This window comes from Homo sapiens, chromosome 1, assembly GCF_000001405.40.
Source record: "Homo sapiens chromosome 1, GRCh38.p14 Primary Assembly".
Lineage (NCBI taxonomy): Eukaryota > Metazoa > Chordata > Mammalia > Primates > Hominidae > Homo > Homo sapiens.
This window is the reverse complement of record NC_000001.11, coordinates 236582254-236605075: the sequence shown is the minus strand read 5'-3', so window position 1 is coordinate 236605075 and position 22822 is coordinate 236582254. Positions and strand designations below refer to the sequence as shown.

Sequence of the window (22822 nt, the reverse complement as noted above, 5' to 3'; positions counted from 1 at the left end):
TTACCCCTCGGGAATGGAAACATAGAGGAGTGACAAGATCTCCCCCAAGCTCTGGGGCGGTGGAGTCCAGCATTTATAGATCGGTTTGCACTAGGAGCAGAAGCTCCTTTCACGACAATCTCGGCCTCTTCCCACTTTGTAGAGTGAGTAACAAGCTCGGAGAGATGAAATAATTTGGTGGCGTTAACCCGGCCGACAGGCGCCAGCGCCAGGATTTGAACCCAAACCACGTGACTTCACAACCCATAGCTTTCAACACTACGCGGTGCTGCTGGCACCTAGTAAAGGCTGGATCACTACTGAATGAATGATTCTGGCTACGGATCCTTAAAGCCCACAGAAGGCCCATCCAGAGACCGAAAGCTTCAGACACAAGCCGCAGAGCAGACCGCTAAACCGGAGCTACAGAGGCGAAGCTCAGACTTGAGCCTGAGTCCGGCGGGCTGAGGGGCGGGCTTTCGTCTCGGGAGGCGGAGCTGTCTCGTCGCATTCCCGGCAAGCTTGAACCTCTTCACTTGCCGTAGCGCCTGCAGCAGGAAGTTGCTCTACAGCATGCCTTAGGTTTCCGGGTGAGGGTTGGGCTCCTTGGTACCATGTGGGAAGCGCTGTGAAGAGTTGTTGCCTTCCAAGATATACCCAAATTCCCAGTTCCAGGTAAGCGGCACAGAGCCGCTTGATGTGGCTGCGGATGGGGGCGGCATATCGAGGGAGGGTAAGAGTTTTCCGGATATCTGCGGAATCAGGGTTGAAGGAAAGCCTTGGCGCGGTCGCCGCTACTGTAATTAGTTGTTAACGCTGCTGCCATCGTCTTTGCATCTCCGGGGTCCACAAATCTCAGGACACCCGCGTTGTGTGTCCATGACGGTGCTGAGTGCAGAAGAGAATTGTTTGTTTACGAGGCGCCTTATAATTTCGTAGAAACTTATCAAAGTGCTTACGTTTTTTTAGCCCGTGTCATTAAAACTCCGCTGGCGTGAAAGATGACGTCCTTAGCCCAGCAGCTGCAACGACTCGCCCTCCCTCAAAGTGATGCCAGCCTCTTATCTAGAGATGAAGTTGCTTCTTTGTTATTTGACCCTAAGGAAGCGGCCACAATCGACAGGGACACCGCCTTCGCCATTGGTGAGCCATCTTTTAACTTAGAAAAGCTCTTGGAAGCGTTTGTTTTCTGGATGTTACTGTTTTTTTTTTTTCCCCTTGTTTTCTCTTCTGTCCCGTCCTCTTCCTTAGCAGTTTCTAGCATGTTGATGTATATTTTTAAGGGAAAGAGAACATAACAGTCAGGTGCTTGGTGCTTGAAATGTTTATGAGTAGAGGTATCTGGATTTCACAGATGAAGAAACAAAATTAGAGAGGTCAACTAATATGTCAAAGAGAAGAACAGCTAAAAGGGGGATGGAGGCAGTGACTGGGGTGACGGAGAAGTCCTCTCAGAGGACTGGCCTAGTTATTGTAGGGGATATCCAAAAAAAAAAAAAAAAAAGTGTTCCCTGCCACGAAGTACTTTCTGTTCTAGTAGATGAGATAGGATTTACTCTAAAAGTTGAAAACTAGAAATCAGTGTTTGGGACTGTATTATAAATTATATGTACTTAAAGAATTCAGAAACTTCTTAGGGGTAAGTAAAACTGTAAAAGAGGGGTGGGATGAATTTGCTTACGAAGAATTGTTAAATAAACTGGCCTTTTTTGAAATTTAGGATGTACTGGCCTGGAAGAGTTGCTTGGAATTGATCCTTCCTTTGAGCAGTTTGAAGCACCGTTGTTCAGTCAGCTAGCAAAAACCTTGGAGCGAAGTGTTCAGACCAAAGCAGTAAACAAACAGTTGGATGAAAACATTTCATTATTCCTTATTCACTTGTCGCCTTACTTCCTGCTTAAGCCAGCACAGAAGTGTCTGGAGTGGTTGATTCACAGGTAGCTAATAGAATTACAGAAATAACTATGGGTTAATCACTTTGGTCTTGTAAAAAATTAAGTAGTTGAGAACTTATCAAATTAAAGCTGAAAAATTAGGTATATTAAGAGATTGATACAATGTCCATTGTGTGAGATAAGCATGCTCTTCTGCCTTTAAATTCTTTTTTGTTGATAGTGAAAAGTAGAACTACTGGTGATTTTGAGTAAATGGTCTAACCTCATTAGTTTTTTTTTGAGATAGAGTCTTGCTGGGCACTCAGGCTGGAGTGCAATATTGAAATCTTGGCTCACTGCAACCTCTGCCTCCCAGGTTCAAGTGATTCTCCCACCTCAGCCTCCCAAGTAGCTGGGATTACAGGCACCTGCCATAATGCCTGGATGAGTTTTGTGTTTTTGTAGAGATGGAGTTTCACCGTGTTAGCCAGGCTGGTCTTTAACCCCTGACCTCAGGTGATCCACCCGCCTCGGCCTCCCAAAATACTGGGATTACAGGTGTGAGCCACCTCGCCCAGCCTAACCTCGTTAGTTCTGAAGAGCCCATGCTACTTTGCCATTACAGCTTGTTCCTGCACACTTGAGGCAGTGAGTACTAAGCTGCTTTCTTGGCAAAATAACAAGATGGTTGGGGAAGCAGGCAATGTTATCCTCTGAAATACCATTGCTTGAGAAAAACAATGATAGCTAATGTGTTTTTGAGCATTTATACACTAGGCCCTGGTAAGCACTTTATCTGCATTATCTCATTTAATTCTCACAGCATTCCTCTGGTGAGATTATTTGTATTATCCTTGTTTTACAGTTGAGAAAACTGAGGCTTAGAGGGATTAAGTTTCTTGAGTCACACAGCTAGTAAGTGGCAGAGCTAGGATACAGCTGAAGTTTATTTCCAAGGTCTGATCTTTTATCTGCTTTGGGAATTGTCTCAGTAAGCTTAGTTTATTTTCTCACATATTGGTGTCACATCACAGCATACACATTTTTGTTTTATTTATTCTCCCAATATGTATGTCTTTTTTTTTTGAGACAGTCTCGCACTGTCGCCCAGGCTGGAGTGCAGTGGCACGATCTCATCTCACTGCAACCTCCACCTCCCAGGTTCAAGCAATTCTCCTGCCTCAGCCTCCCAAGTAGCTGGGATTACAGGCACATACCACTACGCCCAGTTAATTTTTTGTATTTTTTTTTTTTTAGTAAAGATGGGGTTTCATCACGTTGGCCAGGCTGGTCTCAAACTCCTGACCTCGTGATCCACTCGTCTTAGCCTCCCAAAGTGCTGGTGTGAGCCACCACAGCCACTGCACACGGCTGTCTTTTTATTTTTATTTTATTGAGTGTCAGGATTTCACTCACCCAGGCTGGAGTGCAGTGGTGTGATCGTGGCCCACTCGATCTCCAGGGCTCAAATGATCCTCCGATCTCAGCCACCCAAGTAGCTGGGATTACAGGCATGCACCACCATGCCCACCTAGTTTTTTTTTTGTTTGTTTGTTTTTGTTTTTGTTTTTCCATTTTTTGTAGAGACAGTGTCTCACTTTGTTGCCCAGGCTGGTCTGGAACTCCTGGCCTCAAGCGATCCTCCTGCCGAGTCGGCCTCCCAAAGTGCTGGGGTTACAGGCATGAGCCACCACATCCAGTCCAACTTACATGTTTTAAAAGTAGATTTCTATTCCATTAATTGGAGACATGGCTTCAAGGCCAGCCTGGCCAGCATGGTAAAACCTGTCTGTGTGAAAAATACAAAAATTAGCTGGGCGCAGTGGCGAGCACTTGTAATTCTAGCTACTTGGGAGGCTGAGGCAGGAGAATTGCTTGAATCCAGGAGACAGATTTTGCAGTGAGCTGAGATCACGCCACTGCACTCCAGCCTGGGTAACAGGGAGACGCCGTATCAAAAAAAAAAAACAAAAAATGGAGACGTGGGGATAAACTAATTTTTTTTCAAGAAGCAAGTGAGTCATCAAGAAAACATGATTTTAACTTGGGTCTTCTGATTGTCAGAACATTAGGGCAATCAGACAAAGAATATTTAAAAGTCTGTAATATTTCCATCTGTTTTCTAGCACCTAACTTTACCCCCAAATAGATCATTAATGTAAGGAATACTTTTTGCATTTGATTTTTCATTTTATGTCTTCAGATAACTTATTTATTCAGCAAATACTAAGTTCAGTACATAGATAAGTAGGTTGCCGTTGATTACTGTTTTGAAATAAATGCCATAATAAAGGATTAAGCAGAGTTTTGTGGATATAGTTCTGCCTGGAATAGTTGAAGAAAGCTTCATGGAAAAAGTAACCGCTAAAACCGTATGTCAAACTAAGAGGCTGGGTTCAGTGGCTCACGCCTGTAATCCCAGCACTTTGAGAGGCTGAGGCAGGCCAGTCACTTGAGATCAGGAGTTTGAGACGAGCCTGACCAACATGGTGAATCCCTGTCTCTACTAGAAATACAAAAAAAAATTAGCTGGGTGTGGTGCTGTGCACCTGTAATTCCAGCTACTTGGGAGGCTAGGGCATGAGAATCGCTTGAACTTGGGAGGCGAAGGTTGCAGTGAGCTGAGATCACACCACTGCACTCCAGCCTGGGTGACCAAGTAGACTCTGGAAAAAAAAAAAAATCTAATAAAAGGCAATGTATGGTACTGTTTAAAAAAAGTACACGATGTAAAAGGATAGGAGAGTTTTCACAGAAGAGGGATCAGTTGGCAGAATTAGAAAAAACATCTTAGCCAGGCATGGTGGCTCACACCTGTAGTCCTAGCACTTTGGGAGGCTGAGGCAGGTAGATTGCCTGAGCTCAGGAGTTGGAGACCAGCCTGGGCAACATGGTGAAACCCCATCTCTACTAAAGTAAAAAAAAAAAATTAGCTGGGCATGGTGGTATGAGTTTGTAGTCCCAGCTACTTGGGAGGCGGAGGCAGGAGAATCTTTTAAACTTGGAGGTGGAGGTTGCAGTGAGCCGAGATTGTGCCACTGCACTCCAGCCTGGGCAACAGCAAGACTCCCTCTCAAAAAAAAAAAAAAAAAAAAAAAAAAAAATGTTGACAGACCAGCCTGGGCAACACAGGGAGACCTAGTCTCTACACAGAAATAAAAAATTAGCCAGCTGTGATGGTGCTCCCCTGTGGTCCCAGCTACTCAGGAGACCTAGGTGGGAGGATCATTTGAGCCTGGGAGGTTGAGGCTGCAGTGACCCGTGATCGTGCCACTGCACTCCAGCCTGAGTGGCAGAGCAAGACTCTATTCAAAAAATTAAATAAAAATTGTAAAGCTGAGAGAAAGTTAATGGGATGTATATTTTGATGTAGAATATTCAAAGATATTGCATAGGAATTGGCTGGACCATGTTGAGGGATATGTGAATGCAAAATTGGGGACTTTTTAAATGCTCTGTATCTTATAATTTTGTGATTTTTACTGCTACTCGTTCTAGGTTGTTTTAGCTTATTAATAATACAGTTTGGGCATGTGAGGAAATAGGTGCTTATTATTAAGTTTTGTGTTCAGTTGGACTGTTTGCTTTTTTTCCCCAGGTTCCATATACATCTCTATAATCAAGATAGCCTCATTGCTTGTGTTCTGCCATACCACGAGACAAGAATATTTGTGCGAGTCATACAGCTTCTAAAAATTAATAATTCAAAGCACAGATGGTTCTGGTTGTTGCCAGTTAAGGTATAATTGCTGAATGACATATGTCTGTAATCATTACAGATCTTGATTAAGGGATTTAATTAGGAAAAAATAAGTCATTGCTCCTGGGGATAGTCCAGATAACTACCTCCATCATTTTTATTTCCTGACTTCCAATTGAAACTATTATTAATGTTAATAATATTTAGCTTTTATTTAGTATCTGACATCAGGCTAGGCAATGTACATTATATTATCTTGGATTATCACAAAACTTCATTTTTACAGATGAGGACAGGCTACTTGCCAAAGTTCACATAACTATAAAGTGGCAGAGTTGAGATTTGAACCCAAATCTGATTCCAGAGTCTGTGCCTTTGTATCGTACCATGCCGTTTGGCATTTTAAATTTGGAACTGAGAACTTAAAAAAAAGTTGAAGGTGAAGAAAGGCAGAAAATACTTACAAAAATTAAAAGGATAAGGATAACTTCAGGGGTTTCAAGAATTTACTAAAGTTGTGAGGAAGATGCTAGGAGTTAATTTACAGACTAAGAAAAGGATGCTTGTATAACAGGAAGGGTCTGGGTAAGAAAAGACAGCATGCTATTGTAGGAAAACCAACTGACTAACCGTTAGCACTTTGTTTGCAACATATGGTGGAGGAAAGTAGATGTATGTTGTTAGCAGGAACTTGACTGCATGTTGGGCATGGTGATCCAGGGTAGGGGGGGAGGCAAATGGGGATGAAGGTAAGCTAACAGATCACGAGGCTGTGCACATTAGGCTGATGATGGTAGTGGGGTCAGTGTTCAGAATTAGTAAGATAGGAGTAATGAGGACTTTTTAATTAGAAGGAGAATTTAAGAATCTGAACGTAAAGCACTTGAACTAAAGAATGTTGGAGAAGGCCAGCCTTTGATAAAGCTCATTAACTGCTCTTCCCAACATTCACTCTGCCCATAGCATCAAAATTATTCTTCCTCTAATCTACCTTGGATCTTGCTGCTCCCTAGGCACTCTTATTGCAGGTAGCCAAACTCCACTCACCTACTAAAGTTCACTTAAAATTCTCCTTTCATTTATTTAATCAGTATTTATGGAGCATCTATTACATACCATGTACAACGCTAGATGGTGGGAATAGTGGTATAAGTTGTGCAGTTTCCTAGTCTATTTCTGTTCTTAGTGTTATTGTAAAGCAATGACAGAAGCGTATCATAGTGGCTCAGAAACCAAATCGAACCAGTAAAGTTACTAAGAATCTAGAGAATCCAGATTTTGATAAATACCTTTCAAAATGTGACATACGATAAGCAAACATCTTTCACTAAATACCTCTGCCCTCATTGCTGACCTTCTCTTTTGAATTTCTAAGTTTACATGATTTTATGTGTTAATTTCATCACCACCACCAGTTATAAGGAGAGATTATATTTTTTATTTATGAATTGTAGCAGTATGAAGACATTACTAGGGTAAATGCTTTAAAATAAGGATCAGTTGATGAATGTTGCTAGTAGTTTGTTCTTTCCATCAATAACAGCAATCTGGAGTGCCGTTAGCTAAAGGAACTTTGATTACCCACTGCTACAAAGATCTTGGATTCATGGATTTCATTTGCAGTTTGGTGACAAAATCTGTGAAGGTGAGCAGTCTGTTTCATGAGTATATAATTTTATGAAAAGATTGCTTGCTTTGAATGAAGAAAACATACTAAAACATTCCCTAATAACAATGATACTTTGGATAAATTTATTTTGTTAAATGGTCTGGTGTTTTGAAGCAGGAGCAGTTTGAGAGTCCGTATCTTTTTTTTTTTTTTTAAGAATCAGTCTTTTATCACCAAAGGTGTTTTTCTACAAAAATAAATGTCTATTCCTTGCCAGATTCTAGTTACAGTGACTATTCAAAGAGAGTGTCTAGAAATGTCGGGAATATTCAACCTGGGAAAGCTGTTTAAAAAATTTTAAGGCCAGGTGCGGTGGCTCACGCCTGTAATCCCAACACTTTGGGAGGCCAAGGCAGGCGGATCACTTGAAGTCAGGAGTTTGAGACCAGCCTGGCCAACATGGTGAAACACCGTCTCTACTAAAAATACGAAAATAAACTGGGCATGGTGGGGCATGCCTGTAATTCCAGCTGCTCGGGAGGCTGAGGCAGGAAAATCGCTTGAACCTGGGAGGCGGAGGTTGCAGTGACCCAAGATCATGCCACTGTACTGCAACCTGGGCGACAGAGACTCCATCTCAAAAAAAAAAAAAAAAAATTTTTTTTTAAATAAAAATGTTAGGAATATCATTAGGCAGTTAATTGTTGTCACATTGTGTATTCATTGTTGCATATGGTAATTCAGGAGAGCTGTAAATATTTATTTGGCCTTTCACTTTTTTTTTTTTTGGAGACATGGACTTGCTTTGTCGCCCAGGCTAGAGTACAGTGGTGCCATCATAGTTCATTGAAATCTCAGCCTTGAACTCCTGGCCTCAAGCAATCCTTCTACCTCCCTTTCACTGTTAAATGTGTTTTGTTTGTGTTCCTTGTTTCAGGTTTTTGCTGAGTACCCGGGCAGCTCAGCTCAGTTGAGGGTGCTCTTGGCTTTCTATGCTTCTACCATAGTGTCGGCGCTGGTAGCTGCAGAGGACGTATCAGACAATATCATCGCCAAACTATTTCCCTATATCCAAAAGGTTGGCACTGCTGATGTGTTAAGTAGATTATTTTGTACTTAAAGGAATTTTCTTGCTTTCGAAAGTTTTTTTAGATTTAAGTGTTTTTAAATTGACAGTTTATTTCAGATGATAGCTGAGATTTAGCCTTTAGGTTGAAAATATGACACTTTTTTATTAGAAACTCACTGGCCTGGGACCTTAATTAGGACTCTTAAGAATAAATATTGGCTGTCTGGTCCTGCGGCCATCTCCTAGATTGATTTCCATAGCAGTCTTTGTACCTCACTGGAAGGAGGACGGAGCAGACAGTCTCTTTGAGGCGTAAGCAACCTCTCAGTATTCTTTGTGCACTGGCTCCTGCCTCTCAGCGTTTCTCCTTCCCAAGTGCCTTCTTGCCTGCTGCCTTCCCAGGTGCCCTGTGGAGGTACTGCTTTCACTTCCCACCAGTGTCCCAACTTGTGACCTTTCATCAGACTTGTTTCTTCCATTAGTGATCTGATTGAGGTCTCCCTACTATAAGTAGGATTTTATGTATAAAAGAAGAGCTTACTGGCTCCTGTCAGGACATGTGGTAGATGTTTGAGTTGGGAAATTTTCTGAGATCCTTTGTCTCGTTCAACAGACTTGTCTCATCTCTGTATCCACTCTGAAAAAGGGGTCAGCTCCTTTATTGTTTATGTCTGAAGAGTGATTGACTATGCATTAGGTTGTATTAATCTCTATGACATTTCTAATTTGTCAGATTAACATTTAAAGTAGCAGAAAATAATATGGTTTATCATTTTTCCTTATATTTAAAAAATATTTAGGGATTGAAATCATCTTTACCAGATTACAGAGCTGCAACATACATGATAATATGTCAGATTTCTGTGAAAGTGACCATGGAAAATACCTTTGTGAATTCATTGGCATCACAGATCATCAAAACATTGACCAAGATTCCCTCTTTGATCAAGGATGGGTTAAGTTGCTTGATAGTGCTCCTGCAGAGACAGAAGCCAGAGAGCCTTGGGAAAAAGTATGTACAATTGAATTGAGAAATGGTGCTAGTCAGAGGTGAATAAAATTATTTTGAATAATTTTTTTTTGTAAGATAAGTGATTATATATTTTCTTATATTGTTACTCATTGTCTAACTTGTAAAGTCAACACGATATGTACTTTTGCTTCTTCAAAGGCCATTCCCTCACTTATGTAATGTTCCTGATCTTATTACAATACTTCATGGGATTTCTGAAACTTACGATGTCAGTCCTCTTCTGCATTACATGCTTCCCCATCTGGTCGTCTCCATCATTCATCATGTTACAGGTGTGTGGTTTTATATTTTTTGTCCAGAAATTTTCTAAGATTTGATCTTAAAATAGTAACCATATCCTGGTTAACAGCTTCAAAATATTTAAAATTTCTGTTTTCCAGTTGTTCTTGTGTAACTTGTCTATTTCTTAAGTGAGAAACATCTGGGGTGGGGAGCAGGTTGGTTGAAGAAAGATCATTGTTAATTGAGTAATTTCTTAGAATTTTACTTTTTTTAAGATCTGTGTTCTTAAATACTTAAATAGTCTCTACATGAAAAAGACTGGAATACTTTTAAAATTTATTACTGAGTAAACCTTTGCCTTCTCATTTAGGTATTTAATGAACTTTAGTGATTCATTTATAATGAATATCTCATCCAGTTGCCAAAAAAGTTTTTTCCCTAGAGTAATTAAAAATATAAGACCAAGAAAATTTTTATACATAAAAATCCAAATTATGAAACAAAGCAAAAAGCAAAAAGTAATAATTAGAGGGCCAGGTGGCTCAAACCTATAATTCTAGCACTTTGAGAAACTGAGATGGGCAGATCATGGCAAAACCCCGTCTCTACAAAAATATACAAAAATTAACCGGGCATGGTGACATGCAACTGTGGTCCCAGCTGCTCGGGAGACTGAGGTGGGAGGATCACCTGAGTCCAGGGAGTTCGAGGCTACAGGGAACTGTGTTTGTGCCACTGCAGTTCAGCCTGGGCGACAGAGTGAGACCCTATCTCAAAAATAATAATAATAATTAGAAAGTGATTATTTGCATTATGTCTTTTAATAAATACAGAAAGGCTAGGAAGAAACATTTGGTTCTGTTGCTACTTGGAGAATACTAAGAAAGACTTCTCTAAACTTATGTCAGTCTACTGAAAAATGAGGTTTTTGTAACCAAATCTTGGTTTGAACATGCATTTTAGAAAAGTGACTAGCAAAATGAAAATGTATTCTTCCTATTCTGAAGGTAATGAGTAATGTCCCAGTCTTTGAAAGCAAGGGCTAAGATCAGATTCATATGTTTATTATAAATCTGAAATAGATGACAGCTTTTGGTTCAGTAAGGGGGTGGGTACTGAGATAAAAGTTTAACCTCTTTTCAGAGATAGTTGATTGGCACCATCACAACTAATTTGTAATGTGACCTGGGGAAAGACTAATTTTGGACTTTTGTTTTGTTATTGTTATAAGCATGATAGTACTTGTTAAAAATAGAGAATTTTAGATAAAAGAAAAATGAAGGTGATCTATACAAAAGAGCTTTAAAAAATATAAATGACTAAATAAGTGGAATGCACTTGTGCAAATAGATAAAAAGCTGGATATCAGTGTGTGTGTTTTATTCTGAGAACGATTTTCTGCTATAAGTGAATTTAATAATGTTAGCTTGCAAAATAAATTTTTCCCAACACAATTTTAATTTTTACATATTAAGGAGAAGAAACTGAAGGAATGGATGGTCAAATCTACAAGAGACACTTAGAAGCTATACTTACAAAAATATCACTGAAGAACAACTTAGACCATTTGTTGGCTAGGTAAGCTATTATTTTTGACATGCTTTTGATTTACATTTTTGTGACTCAGTATAATTTTCAAGATTGGTTAGAAATTTCCCAGCATTCCTTTTTAATGTATATCTTGTTTTGTCTGTATCATTTCATTAACTATAAGTACTTAATCCAGTAACTGGCAGCATTAAAAGCAAAAGTAATTTTTCTTGCATGTCTTTAGTGCTTATAGATGAAAATGGAAAGTTAGTGGTTAAGACAAATTTGGGTAATAACTAAATGCAGTTTGTGGCCGTTTGAAGTTTTCTCTTAGTAAATGGACCATAATATCTGAAATAACACATCACAATTAAAACGCAGTAAATGTCATTTAGAAACAATATTGAAGGTAAGCATAGAGTAAGGATTATTTCTTTAAAGATAATTCAGTCTTTTTTTTTTTTTTTTTTTTTTTCTCTTAATGGGCAACTCGATACAGTGAAAAGATGTAGGCGTTGTGGTCAGACATAGGTGTAAATTCTGCGCCTACCACTTCCAGGGCTATAGTAAGTTTTGGAGGTTAGTCTGGATGTAGCTTTGCCATTTTGTAGGATCAAGAGAGTGCCTGTGTGTTGGTGTGCATCATTCATGCCCCTTTGCTCAGAGGGTTGGTTTGTGAATTAAAGGAGAGTATACACGTGTAGTAATGTTGAGAACATAGGCTCTAGAATCAGACTGGGGCTTAAAATGTGAAACCCCACTCTGTGGCACAGAAGGGCTTACTGAATGTTGCCTTTTATTGCTGTTCTCATGAGCAAATTGGAAGACTTACACTCTAGTTTCTTTTCCTTTTTTTTTTTTCTTTAAGATGGAGTTTCGCTCTTATTGCCCAGGCTGGAGTGCAATGGCACAATCTCGGCTCACTGCAACCTCCGCCTCCCAGGTTCAAGCGATTCTCCTGCCTCAGCCTCCCTGGTAGCTGGGATTACAGGCATGTGCCACCATGCCCAGCTAATTTTGTATATTTAGTAGAGACAAGGTTTCACCATGTTGGTCAGGCTGATCTCGAACTCCTGTCCTCAGGTGATCCGCCCACCTTGGCCTCCCAAAGTACTGGGATTACAGGCGTGAGCCAGCACCATTTAAAATAGCAATGTAGTCTTACTATGTTGTTCAGACAGGTCTCGAACTCCTGACCTTAAGCAGTTCTCCTGCCCCGGCCTCCGAAAGTGCTGGGATTATAATGCCAGTGGTGTGAACCACTACACCAGGCCTCTAGTTTCTTTATCTGTAAAATAAGTATTAAACTATACCTTGTATAAGTATGACAATTAGAGATAATATTTCTAAAGCACTTAGAATATAGTAGGTACTCAATAAATAGTAACTCTTATGTATGCTGATATTTCTGTTTTTTTTTTTACAGCCTTCTATTTGAAGAGTATATTTCATATAGTTCACAGGAAGAAATGGATTCTAATAAAGTGTCTTTGCTTAATGAACAATTTCTTCCACTCATTAGGCTTTTAGAAAGCAAGTAAGTTACGTGTGTATGTTTATGCTCTTCTAAAGTACTTCCTGTTCTATAAAGATATGATTCACAAGTCACATCTTAATATACTGAATTGTACAGAGACTGTCCTTTTTAAATTTGTTCTTCAAGAAGGGGCGAGTATCGGAATCAAAAATATTTGAAATATAAGAGGAAATAGTGGTTGTGTGGGGGCTATGGAGAGTATAATTTTTTATAGAGAGACTATTTTGTTATTGGAGTAGTCATAGTAACACACTTGACCAATGTCATTTGGTTTTACCTACAACATTTGTTAAAATTTAAGTCACAGTCTCAGTAATTTTTAAGATTTTATGTCTTTCCTTTATATGTGTATGGTGTATGAGATTAATAAATTTATTAAGAATAATGAATTCACTTTTTAATTGCTTCCCAGATACCCCAGAACATTAGATGTTGTATTAGAGGAACACTTAAAGGAAATTGCAGATCTGAAAAAACAAGAGCTTTTCCATCAGTTTGTTTCTCTTTCTACAAGTGGAGGAAAGTATCAGGTATGTTGTTCTCCAAAGGAATTATGACAATTTGGGGTACATTTGTATGGGTATGTGAAGAGCTCCAGAAGGAAATTTGCCACTTTTTTCCCTTGTGTGGAAAATTTTACAGAGATAACCTTCTACAGTTTGCCTAGTTGCCTGAAGTACGGCTCTGAGGCAGGAATAGAATAATTGGAGAAAGGTACAATAATTTGTACATAACTATGAACGTGATACTTATTTCAGGAAAAGTATTGTTTGAGAATTTTGTATGGGATATTCATTAAGAATCATCAGAGGACGGCCTCATGTAGGTTTCTAGCATTCTCTGTCTTTCATCTAGGTCTATGCTTTCCAGTGTACCAGCCACAGATGGCTATTTATATTATTGATTAGCAAGGGGGAGATGGGTTCTATTTCATGATCACATTAAAACTTGAGAAATTTTCTGGTGATTCAAGCCTAAAGCTTTATACTAGAGGTTAGACATTTAAGCAGGAGTTCTTATATTTAGCCTTAAAAACAGATAATTATGAAGAGAAATATGATTGTTTTAGTATTTCTCTTCCATAATTAGACTTTCATTTTTAATGGTGTTGCATTTCCAAATCTTAGGTTGATGGATAAGACTTTCTTTTTAGTCTAATTGCGTAAGTGAACTAAGTTGTCACGAATTTGAGTGTCACTATTTGTTATATCATGTAGATGAGTTGCATTCTGTCTTCTGGAAGGTGCTAAAACAGGGATTTATCTTAGGTGATTTATCAGATACGCATACAAAATACAAAATTACTTTGTAGAATTACTTGACTAAATTAAACCTACACATAGACACAAGTATACATGAAATCATACCATTAACAATACAAATTTTTTCATCAACTCATGTGATGTTCTAGAAACAAAGATTTTGCATTTTTTTGTTTGTTTTCTGTAGTTAGATGGTTGTTACTGAAAATGTTGGGCAATTTGGGGTGGTTTTCTCTGGGTTTTATTCTTGATCATAGACTGTTCAGATTAAGTGAAATCATTTGATAACTATGTTGAACCCTGTAGTTTTTAGCAGATTCTGATACTTCTTTGATGCTCAGCCTGAATCATCCACTTGCTCCTGTGAGAATTCTGGCCATGAATCATTTGAAAAAGATCATGAAAACATCAAAGGTTTGTTTCAGATCGCTTTTTTATATGGTTTTTTTTTCTTATGATGAGCAGTGTAATTCTGAATAAGAAATTGAAGTTACCACCTAAGTGGGTAATGATACAGATGAGTTGAATAAACCTCATGAGAGTACCTTAGACTAATATTTAGGACTGTGTATGCCAGTTGTCCCCATTTTAACAATAACCTAATAACAACTACTTTTATGTTTCCACATTGACAGTTGTTTATCTTTAGTGTTTTTCAAACTGGAATTTGTAGATTAATTCACGTAGGTTCATTAATTATCTGAGAATTTTTTTAGTTTTGAAATTTGATTTTGGGCCGGTCACAGCAGCTCATGCCTATAATCCCAGCACTCTGTGAGAAGGATCACTTGAGCCCAAACGTTTGAGACCAACCTGGGCAACATAGGGAGACCCCCTTCTCTATAAAAAAGTTCAAAAAATAAAAAATTAGCCAAGTTTGGTGGCACACGCTTTGGTCCCAGCTACTTGAGAGGCTGAGGTAGGAGGATCTCTTGGGTGTGAGAGGTTGAGGCTGCAGCGAGCCATGATCACGCCACTGCTCTCCAGCCTGGGTGACAGGGCAAGACTCTTTCAAAAAAAAACCGAGAAATTTGATTTTGATAGTCTTAATTTTAGATGAAGACATATTTTGGGACATTTGAATGATAACTTTTGAACACTGTTCCATGATTTTGGTGCCTGCAGTTTCGTTTGTCTTTAAAATGTTAGTGGTTTCAAATATGTATTGAGGCTGACTTTATTTGTAAATAATTTGGTCTAATTTGCATTTATACCAAAAGGCATTGGTATGAAGACTTGGTAATGATGCACATAGAATAGTAGTTTCCAAACTTTAGTCATTCAAGCAGTCCCTGTACAATTTTTGCTAAATTACAAATTACCACTGATAGTAGTATTATTTTCTCACAATTTTTCTTTATTTCAGATGGACTCATTATTTTTTTACATAGCCTTCAAATTGTGGGTGTGAGGTGCTAATTGTATATGCATTTTACTATAGTTACTATAATTAAAATAGGAATGCTCCATCTGTGTCATATCTAAAATTATGCACCGTGATTTGCATATTTGAGAAATTTCTGGAACAGAGTAAAGCGGTTAACAGAGTTTAGTTTCCTTGTAGCACATGGCAGTGTAAACGTGCCGAACTCTAGAACTTGTGTCATAGCAATTAGAAGCAGATTCTTACTACAAGTAAAATCATATGATCAGTAAAATTTAATTTCAGCTAATTACAACTAATCACACTAAGTTCATCTTCATTTGAATTTTATTGGTTTTATAGAGTTTTTAGTATTTCCCTTGTAGATTTAAAAAAAAATTTTTGTTTTATGTCATCTATATTTTAAGAAGGAGTTATACTTAATTTTAAGTTGATATATAAACAACAAACAACATTTAGATCTTTGAGAATGTTTCTTTGAAAGTGACTGATGTAATATTCAGGTTTGAGAAATGTTGCTTTATTTGATCTGACATGAATTCTGCTTTTGTAAACTGCCAATAGGTTTATTTTGTCGATATGTTAAATAAATTCATTGAATAATAGTCTTTGTTGTGATAGGAGGATTTCAGTGATAAGAAATTCTTCTAGAATAAAGGGGAGTCCTGGAATCTTCTGTTTCTGAAGTTATTCTCATCCTTCCTTCTTTTACTGCCTTTCTCTCCTGTTCTCTGGGTTTGGTTCGTTTTTCGGTGAAGGGCCGGCCCTGCATACATTCAACTTACAGGCTTGAGGATTGTAATTGCAGTTGATGTCCTCCTTTGCATACCATGTTTCATTTTCTTTTCTCCATTGATGACAGGACATAGGTTTTATTCTAAACTCCAGGTTCAGATATATGGCTGCTTATTAGCTCTTGAGGATTTGTTTAAATGATGGGGTCTTGCTATGTTATCCAGGCTGGCCTCAAACTCCTGGGCTTAAGCAGTCCTCCCACCTCAGCCTCCAGAGTAGCTGGGATTATAGACATGCACCACTGTGCCTGACTAACTTAATTTTTGTGAATTCTGTGAATTTTCATTTTTCTCCCAACAGAGTGACCTATGTTTTTTATATTATTTAGTTGCCTGCCACATATAGATAGGGATATATTCAGGTTGATTAGCAGTCCTAGTTTTCTTTCTCTGTGAATGAATATACATTGTTTTCTTTTATTTGTTATATTTAAAAAATGATCTCTATTTTTGGCAGACTGGCTTTGTAGTACATGTCCTTATCCTTGTAAAAATTTAGATAATACTAGCTAGCTTTTAACAGTACTATGTGTAAAGCACTGTGCTACAGACTGACATGTATTTTTTAATCTTCTAACAACCCTTGCAGGTAGGTATTATTTATTAGCAAACCTGTTTTATAGGTGAGAATAGTGAGATCCAGAAAGGTTAAGTGACTTGACTAAAGTTACACAACTAGTAAGTGGTAGAGCTAGGATTTAAATTAGACATTCTTATTCTTTAGTCTATATCCCGTCAATATCTGGGCTCTCACTTTAATAAGATGAACTCCTTAACTACAAAAACTATATTTGGAGTATACCATATTTACTATATTTTCACTGAAAACTTGAAAAGGATTTGTACCAAACAATTATTAATCTCAAAAGGCCCTTTAGCGATTATCTAGTTCTAGTGTGTTTCAGTCCTCATCCAGAGCAGAGCCTGTGTTAGACTGTCATTCTGGAGTGTTTTTCACAAAACCATACTTCCTTTCTAGTGCAAAGCCTTAAGAGATTTTTGGCAACAGCTAAATTAATGTTTTTCTTTTATTGCTCAGGAGGGTGTTGATGAATCTTTCATAAAAGAAGCTGTTTTAGCCCGATTAGGTGATGATAATATAGATGTTGTTTTGTCGGCTATAAGTGCTTTTGAGGTGAGTGAATTTGTCATTTGTTGAGGTATACAATTTTGTAAATTTCCTTGCCCTTCTCACTTGATTCTCTGCTTGAGACTAGAATATTTTTGGAAATTATTTTTCCATGGGAAATTTGTTCTCTGGAGAGCACAGACTTAAGTCTGGTTAGGAGAAACTCACAGAAATTCACAATTTGATATATTAAATATATATGGAAGTTGTTCAAACAGGAAAAATGTTTTGTGAATTTTTATATTGCTTTTAACATATTTTTATCAATAGCAAATACCTTGGGACCTGTGGAAATTGTCTTATGAATGCCACTTTTGAGAAATAGATCTTAAAACTTTTAATTTGTACTAGGATTCCTGGGAGAAATTCCTTATAATTCATTCTTTTTAAAATTCGCATTTAAAAAGCGCCATACATGTTTGAAGCAAGTACAAATCTACTCTGGATATTTTTTTCCCTTTAGATTTTCAAAGAACACTTCAGTTCAGAAGTGACGATTTCAAATCTTCTGAATCTCTTTCAAAGAGCAGAACTTTCAAAGAATGGAGAATGGTATGTATTCATTTCTCCTCATACTATTTTGAATTGATGAAGTTCTTATATCAAGTTCTTTCTATTTCTTCTTCTTTTTTTTTTTAAGGCTTTGATTACATGACCCTTTTGTCGTGGTAGTAGAACAGATCTTACTGTAATACTCTCTTTCATTATACAGTTAATTAATTTGTGTTTGTGTGTGTTCATTATACTGTTCTCTATGTTTGGAATTTCTCTTAATAAAATGCAAAAGGAAGTATATAATGTATGATATTGCATTCTGGGAAGTAAGATGGGTAGGACTTTCTAATTTGCTGCTTTATGTAATTTTTACTTTATAATTAAAAACAAATACCAATGTGTTAAACAAATTAAAAAATAAGTTCAGAGACACATGATACCATCTGTGGTAAGTTTTTAATGAGCTCTGTTTATTTCATTTTTGGCACCAAAGCTTTTTGCAAGAAAAAGTAAGCAAGCTCCATAGAGGATGAGAGTGTGTCTTACGTGTTTTTGTATCTATCGTATGGGTAGATATCTATCATGTAGGATGTGCTTGGTTCATTTTTTTTGAGTGCCTGAGTGAACCTGATTTCCGGTAGAGTTGAGACATCTAGTGTGATATGTCTTATGTTATAGTTAACCTCTAGTGATTTCTCTAAGAAAAATTATTATTTTTTTTTTAAGATTAGACAGGATGAGCAGATTAAAAGTATTGTTGGCCAGGCACAGTGGCTCATGCCTGTAATCCCAGCACTTGTACAAAAAATAAATAAATAAAAATATTGTCACAGATAACTCTGTTATTGGCATGGATTTTAAGTGGTGTCTTAGTGTATCTGAATAATAGTTTTGGTCAGGAGACCAGGATATTGTCAGTTAAGCTGGAGTAATGTAATGATGAATTTTTGCCCAATTGAAGCCTTCCAATGTGTCTTTCAACCAAGTGTGCTTGCATGTCTTTTAGGTACGAGGTACTTAAGATAGCCGCTGACATATTAATTAAAGAAGAGATACTGAGTGAAAATGATCAGTTGTCAAATCAGGTGGTTGTATGTTTGCTGCCATTTATGGTTATCAATAATGATGATACGGAATCTGCTGAGATGAAAATTGCTATATATTTATCAAAATCAGGAATCTGCTCCCTGCACCCTCTATTAAGAGGCTGGGAAGAAGGTAAAAAATTCAGTTGTTTTTTTAGAAAAAGTGAACAGATAACACAAAAGAAAACAAGGAAAATTTAAAATTTATTGTTGGTCATGCTTATATGCCAGTAAGGTCTTTTAAAATTTTTGCCAAGATAAAAAGTATACAGTGAAAAGGAAGCCAATTCATAGACAAATTCAGAATCGGATACAAGGAAAAATAGAAAGCAAACCTTCATAAACAATAGTAAAATGTTTGCCTGAATTCTTCATGTGATTCTTTGAGTGTTGGTGACATAAGAGCTCTCTGCATTCGATTTTACTTTACAGCTCTTGAAAATGTAATTAAAAGCACAAAGCCAGGAAAACTAATCGGTGTAGCAAATCAGAAGATGATTGAGTTGTTGGCTGATAATATAAATTTAGGAGATCCTTCTTCAATGTTAAAGATGGTAAGTATGCTTTGAAAGTCCACCCCCTGGATTTCTTTCTCATACTCTTATTAAATTCTCAGCTTTTGCTTTACTAGATTTTTCTTAAAAAAAATTTCTTTTATTCTTGAGTACTTGGTTTTACTTTAAACGTTGCAGTGTTGTTTAATATATTCTGTGCAATGTTTGAAATCTTTTAACATTTTATATATTTTTTCAATGTGGATCCATATCACACCCATAAGAATAATATATCCTTTTTACCACCATTTTTTCTCATTCCCATTTAAAATATTAGTCTTTTTGTTGTTGTTGTTGTTAAAATAGCAAAATATAATCCCAAAGAGGAGAAAATTATCTTTGCCTTATTAAATAAACCTTTGTAAAGGATTAGATGTGTGATTTAAATACATTAACCAGTTGGCAAGTGCAATTATGTTCATTACAGTTTCTGAAATTATTCTTATAATTACTTAGAAATCAGTGCTTAGTACTTTATAAAGGCTTTCTGTTTGTCATCTCACTTTAAATGTAAAACACATAATACCTAGATAGACCTGAGTTGAAAAAATTGTTTTATGAAAATCAAGAGCAACTGGTAATAGAGTGTGTTTATTTTTCAAGGTGGAGGATTTAATAAGCGTGGGTGAGGAGGAGTCCTTTAACCTGAAGCAGAAAGTAACGTTTCATGTGATCCTGTCTGTGCTCGTCTCTTGTTGTTCATCTTTAAAAGAAACCCACTTTCCATTTGCGATAAGAGTCTTCAGTTTGTTGCAGAAAAAAATAAAGAAGCTTGAAAGTGTCATTACTGCAGTGGTAAGGAAAGCAGAATCTCCAGAAAGTGGGATGTTGAATAAAACAACAGCCTGGCCTATTAGTCACAGCAAAACTGAAAATCAGAGGCGAGATGTTGAGTCTGTGGATAGTAGCTGGATGAAATGTGAAGCAGTCTTGGGTAGCAGTGAGATAGTCAACTAGGCACTCCCTTGCTTTTGCGGAAAGTTTAGTTGAATTATAAAATTTTAGGGTTGCAATATTTTGTATCTGATGCCTGACTCTCCTCTCTTTTATTGTCTTTATTGGATAATTACCCAAGCTACACCTAACTACCTCTAGCGATGAAGAATTCACTTGGTGTGTTAGTGCTTGAACAAAATACTATTTCATTCAATTGTTTACTAAAAATAGATCTTTTAGGCTTTAAATAATTTTAATATTACATAGATGTGTATCCCTCCAGCCTACTACTGTCTTTCATAGTATTACTAAAGGACATGTTTCAGCTGTTTACATTTGACATGTTTTGAGGTAGCAAGACTTTTTTTTTAATATCTGCTATATGTAAGGATTTTGTTTTTATTTGTCCTCCAAATTTTAGAGGGCTTCTCATTATAGGATTTACTAAATGAATTATATCTTTTTCACATTTACGTATACCCGCAGGATTTTATAAGTTCTGATCATGGCCATTGTTAGCTAAAATGTGTAAACTTTAAAAAGAGTAAAATCTTCATATTTTGAAAAATAGTCCAGATAGGCCCTTCTTAACTTTTAGTTTCTTGGTGTCTTTTGTGAAGTATGATGACCTGAACTATACTGGTTCTCAGTGTTAAAAGTATGGACAAATAGAGTGTTTTATTATACATATGTAGATAACAGGTTATTTTATATTGCTTTACTTTTAATACCTTTCTCGAGGTCATGAGCATGTTTTCGCCTGTAGCAGCACGTTGAGTTAATCAAATCCCTCACTGGAGACGTTACATTGTAAATCTGGCTTTGGATTATTTTCCTTCTAAGTTATTACTCTGTACTGCTTGTACAGAGTCATATTTGTCATTTTCTTACACCTGTTCTGCATTCTTTTGGCACTTACAGTATAATTTCTAAACACCTAACATTTTGCTGCTTGTTTAAAATCATCTGCAGGTTTGGAGATTTTTGCCATGTACCTTATTCAGATTAGTGGTAAAACAGTGAAATCAAAGAATTCCCTTTAACTATGTCTTGGCAATCCAACTGTTTATCTTCCTGTTTTGAAATATACCTATTTTGGCCAGGCACGGTAGCTCACGCCTATAATCCCAGCATTTTGGGAGGCCGAGGCGGGTGGATCATCTGAGGACAGGAGTTCGAGACCAACCTGGCCAAAATGGTGAAACCTAATCTCTACTAAAGATACAAAAATTAGCCAGGCATGATGGCGGGCACCTGTAATCCTTCCTACTCGGGAGGCTGAAGCAGTAGAATTGCTTGAACCTGGGAAGCGGAGGTTGCAGTGAGCTGAGATTGTGCCGCTGCACTCCAGCCTGGGTGACAGAGCAAGACTCCGTCTCAAAAAAAAAAAAAAAAAAAAGAAATATGCCTATTTATTCCTACCCTTTATTGGATAAACAGTTCATATGAATAAAGTTTGTTTTTAGAGATAATGTTTCAAGGTAAGACATAGATAAAATTTAACTTTGTCTTTCCTTGTGAATAGTGATAAACCTCTTTAAAAATCCGACCAAAGCAGTTCTGTTAATCCTTTCCCCACCAAAATGCACACATAAACAAAACTTTTGCATATTATGCAGAGGAATTCATATAACCCATGTTCAGAACCCTTAGTTTGTACTAGTTTTTGTTTCCTTTAACATTTCAGGAAATCCCCTCAGAATGGCACATTGAACTGATGTTAGACAGAGGGATCCCAGTGGAGCTGTGGGCACATTATGTAGAAGAGCTCAACAGCACTCAGAGGGTGGCCGTGGAGGACTCGGTTTTTCTTGTATTTTCCTTGAAAAAATTTATTTATGCACTGAAAGCTCCTAAATCTTTTCCTAAAGGTAAGATACAAGCTGTGAATCTTTTAAATGTGATACTCTGCAAAACTGAATGATTGACTCCACAATGACTGTCTTGAATAAAAAGCTCCCAGCATGTTCATGTAGGATCTAGCATCATTTCTCTTTCCATGTCCTTGTAGGTGATATATGGTGGAATCCTGAACAACTGAAAGAAGACAGCAGGGACTATCTGCACTTGCTCATTGGGCTGTTTGAGATGATGCTCAATGGTGCCGATGCTGTTCATTTCAGAGTTCTGATGAAACTTTTCATAAAGGTACAAGCCTCCTCCTTTTCAGGCGTACTCTACCCTTAAAGAAGATATGGCTGGCCTGCAATCCCAGCACTTTGGGAGGCCGAGGCAGGCGGATCACTTGAGGTCAGGAGTTCAATACCAGCCTGGCCAACATAGTGAAACTCCATTTCTACTAAAAATACAAAAATTAGCCAGGCATGGTGATGGGGCCTGTAATCCCAGCCACTTGGGAGGCAGAGGCAGGAGAATTCGCTTGAACCCGGGAGGCAGAGGTTGCAGTGAGCCGAGATCACACCACCGTACTCCAGCCTGGGTGACAAGAGTGAGACTCTGTCTCAAAAAAAAAAGATGGGCTGGGCGCAGTAGCTCACGCCTATAATCCGAGCACTTTGGGAGGCCAAGGTGGGTGGATCACGAGGTCAGGAGATCGAGACCATCCTGGCTAACATGGTGAAACGCCGTCTCTACGAAAAATACAAAAAAAATTAGCCGGGTGTGGTGGC

General features: G+C 37.7%; 1 protein-coding gene across 1 annotated transcript in view, besides 2 other annotated features; it reads left to right on the top strand.

Annotated features, from left to right (window-relative positions):
- Positions 360-619: an enhancer, noted in NCBI's record as "active region_2825". NCBI's record gives its function as "activates an Ori minimal core promoter by ATAC-STARR-seq in GM12878 lymphoblastoid cells {active_cell/tissue: GM12878}" and the evidence as "EXISTENCE:reporter gene assay evidence [ECO:0000049][PMID:35858748]".
- The window catches only part of HEATR1 (HEAT repeat containing 1), a 55512-nt gene continuing 33249 nt past the window's right edge, over positions 560-22822 (top strand). Inside the window, exons 1-19 of the mRNA NM_018072.6 lie at positions 560-654; positions 949-1122; positions 1700-1916; positions 5452-5593; positions 7097-7198; positions 8100-8240; positions 9032-9243; positions 9403-9536; positions 10962-11064; positions 12443-12553; positions 12966-13083; positions 14122-14229; positions 17033-17128; positions 17586-17674; positions 18624-18835; positions 19135-19256; positions 19860-20051; positions 21880-22063; positions 22204-22340. Of these exons, the coding sequence (NP_060542.4) occupies positions 981-1122; positions 1700-1916; positions 5452-5593; positions 7097-7198; positions 8100-8240; positions 9032-9243; positions 9403-9536; positions 10962-11064; positions 12443-12553; positions 12966-13083; positions 14122-14229; positions 17033-17128; positions 17586-17674; positions 18624-18835; positions 19135-19256; positions 19860-20051; positions 21880-22063; positions 22204-22340 (2562 nt within the window). The 5' untranslated portion in view covers positions 560-654; positions 949-980. The remainder of the gene's footprint in view (positions 655-948; positions 1123-1699; positions 1917-5451; positions 5594-7096; positions 7199-8099; positions 8241-9031; positions 9244-9402; positions 9537-10961; positions 11065-12442; positions 12554-12965; positions 13084-14121; positions 14230-17032; positions 17129-17585; positions 17675-18623; positions 18836-19134; positions 19257-19859; positions 20052-21879; positions 22064-22203; positions 22341-22822) is intronic.
- Positions 6101-6301: a silencer, noted in NCBI's record as "peak786 fragment used in MPRA reporter construct". NCBI's record gives its function as "represses an SCP1 promoter by STARR-seq MPRAs in K562 erythroleukemia cells {active_cell/tissue: K562}" and the evidence as "EXISTENCE:reporter gene assay evidence [ECO:0000049][PMID:32103011]".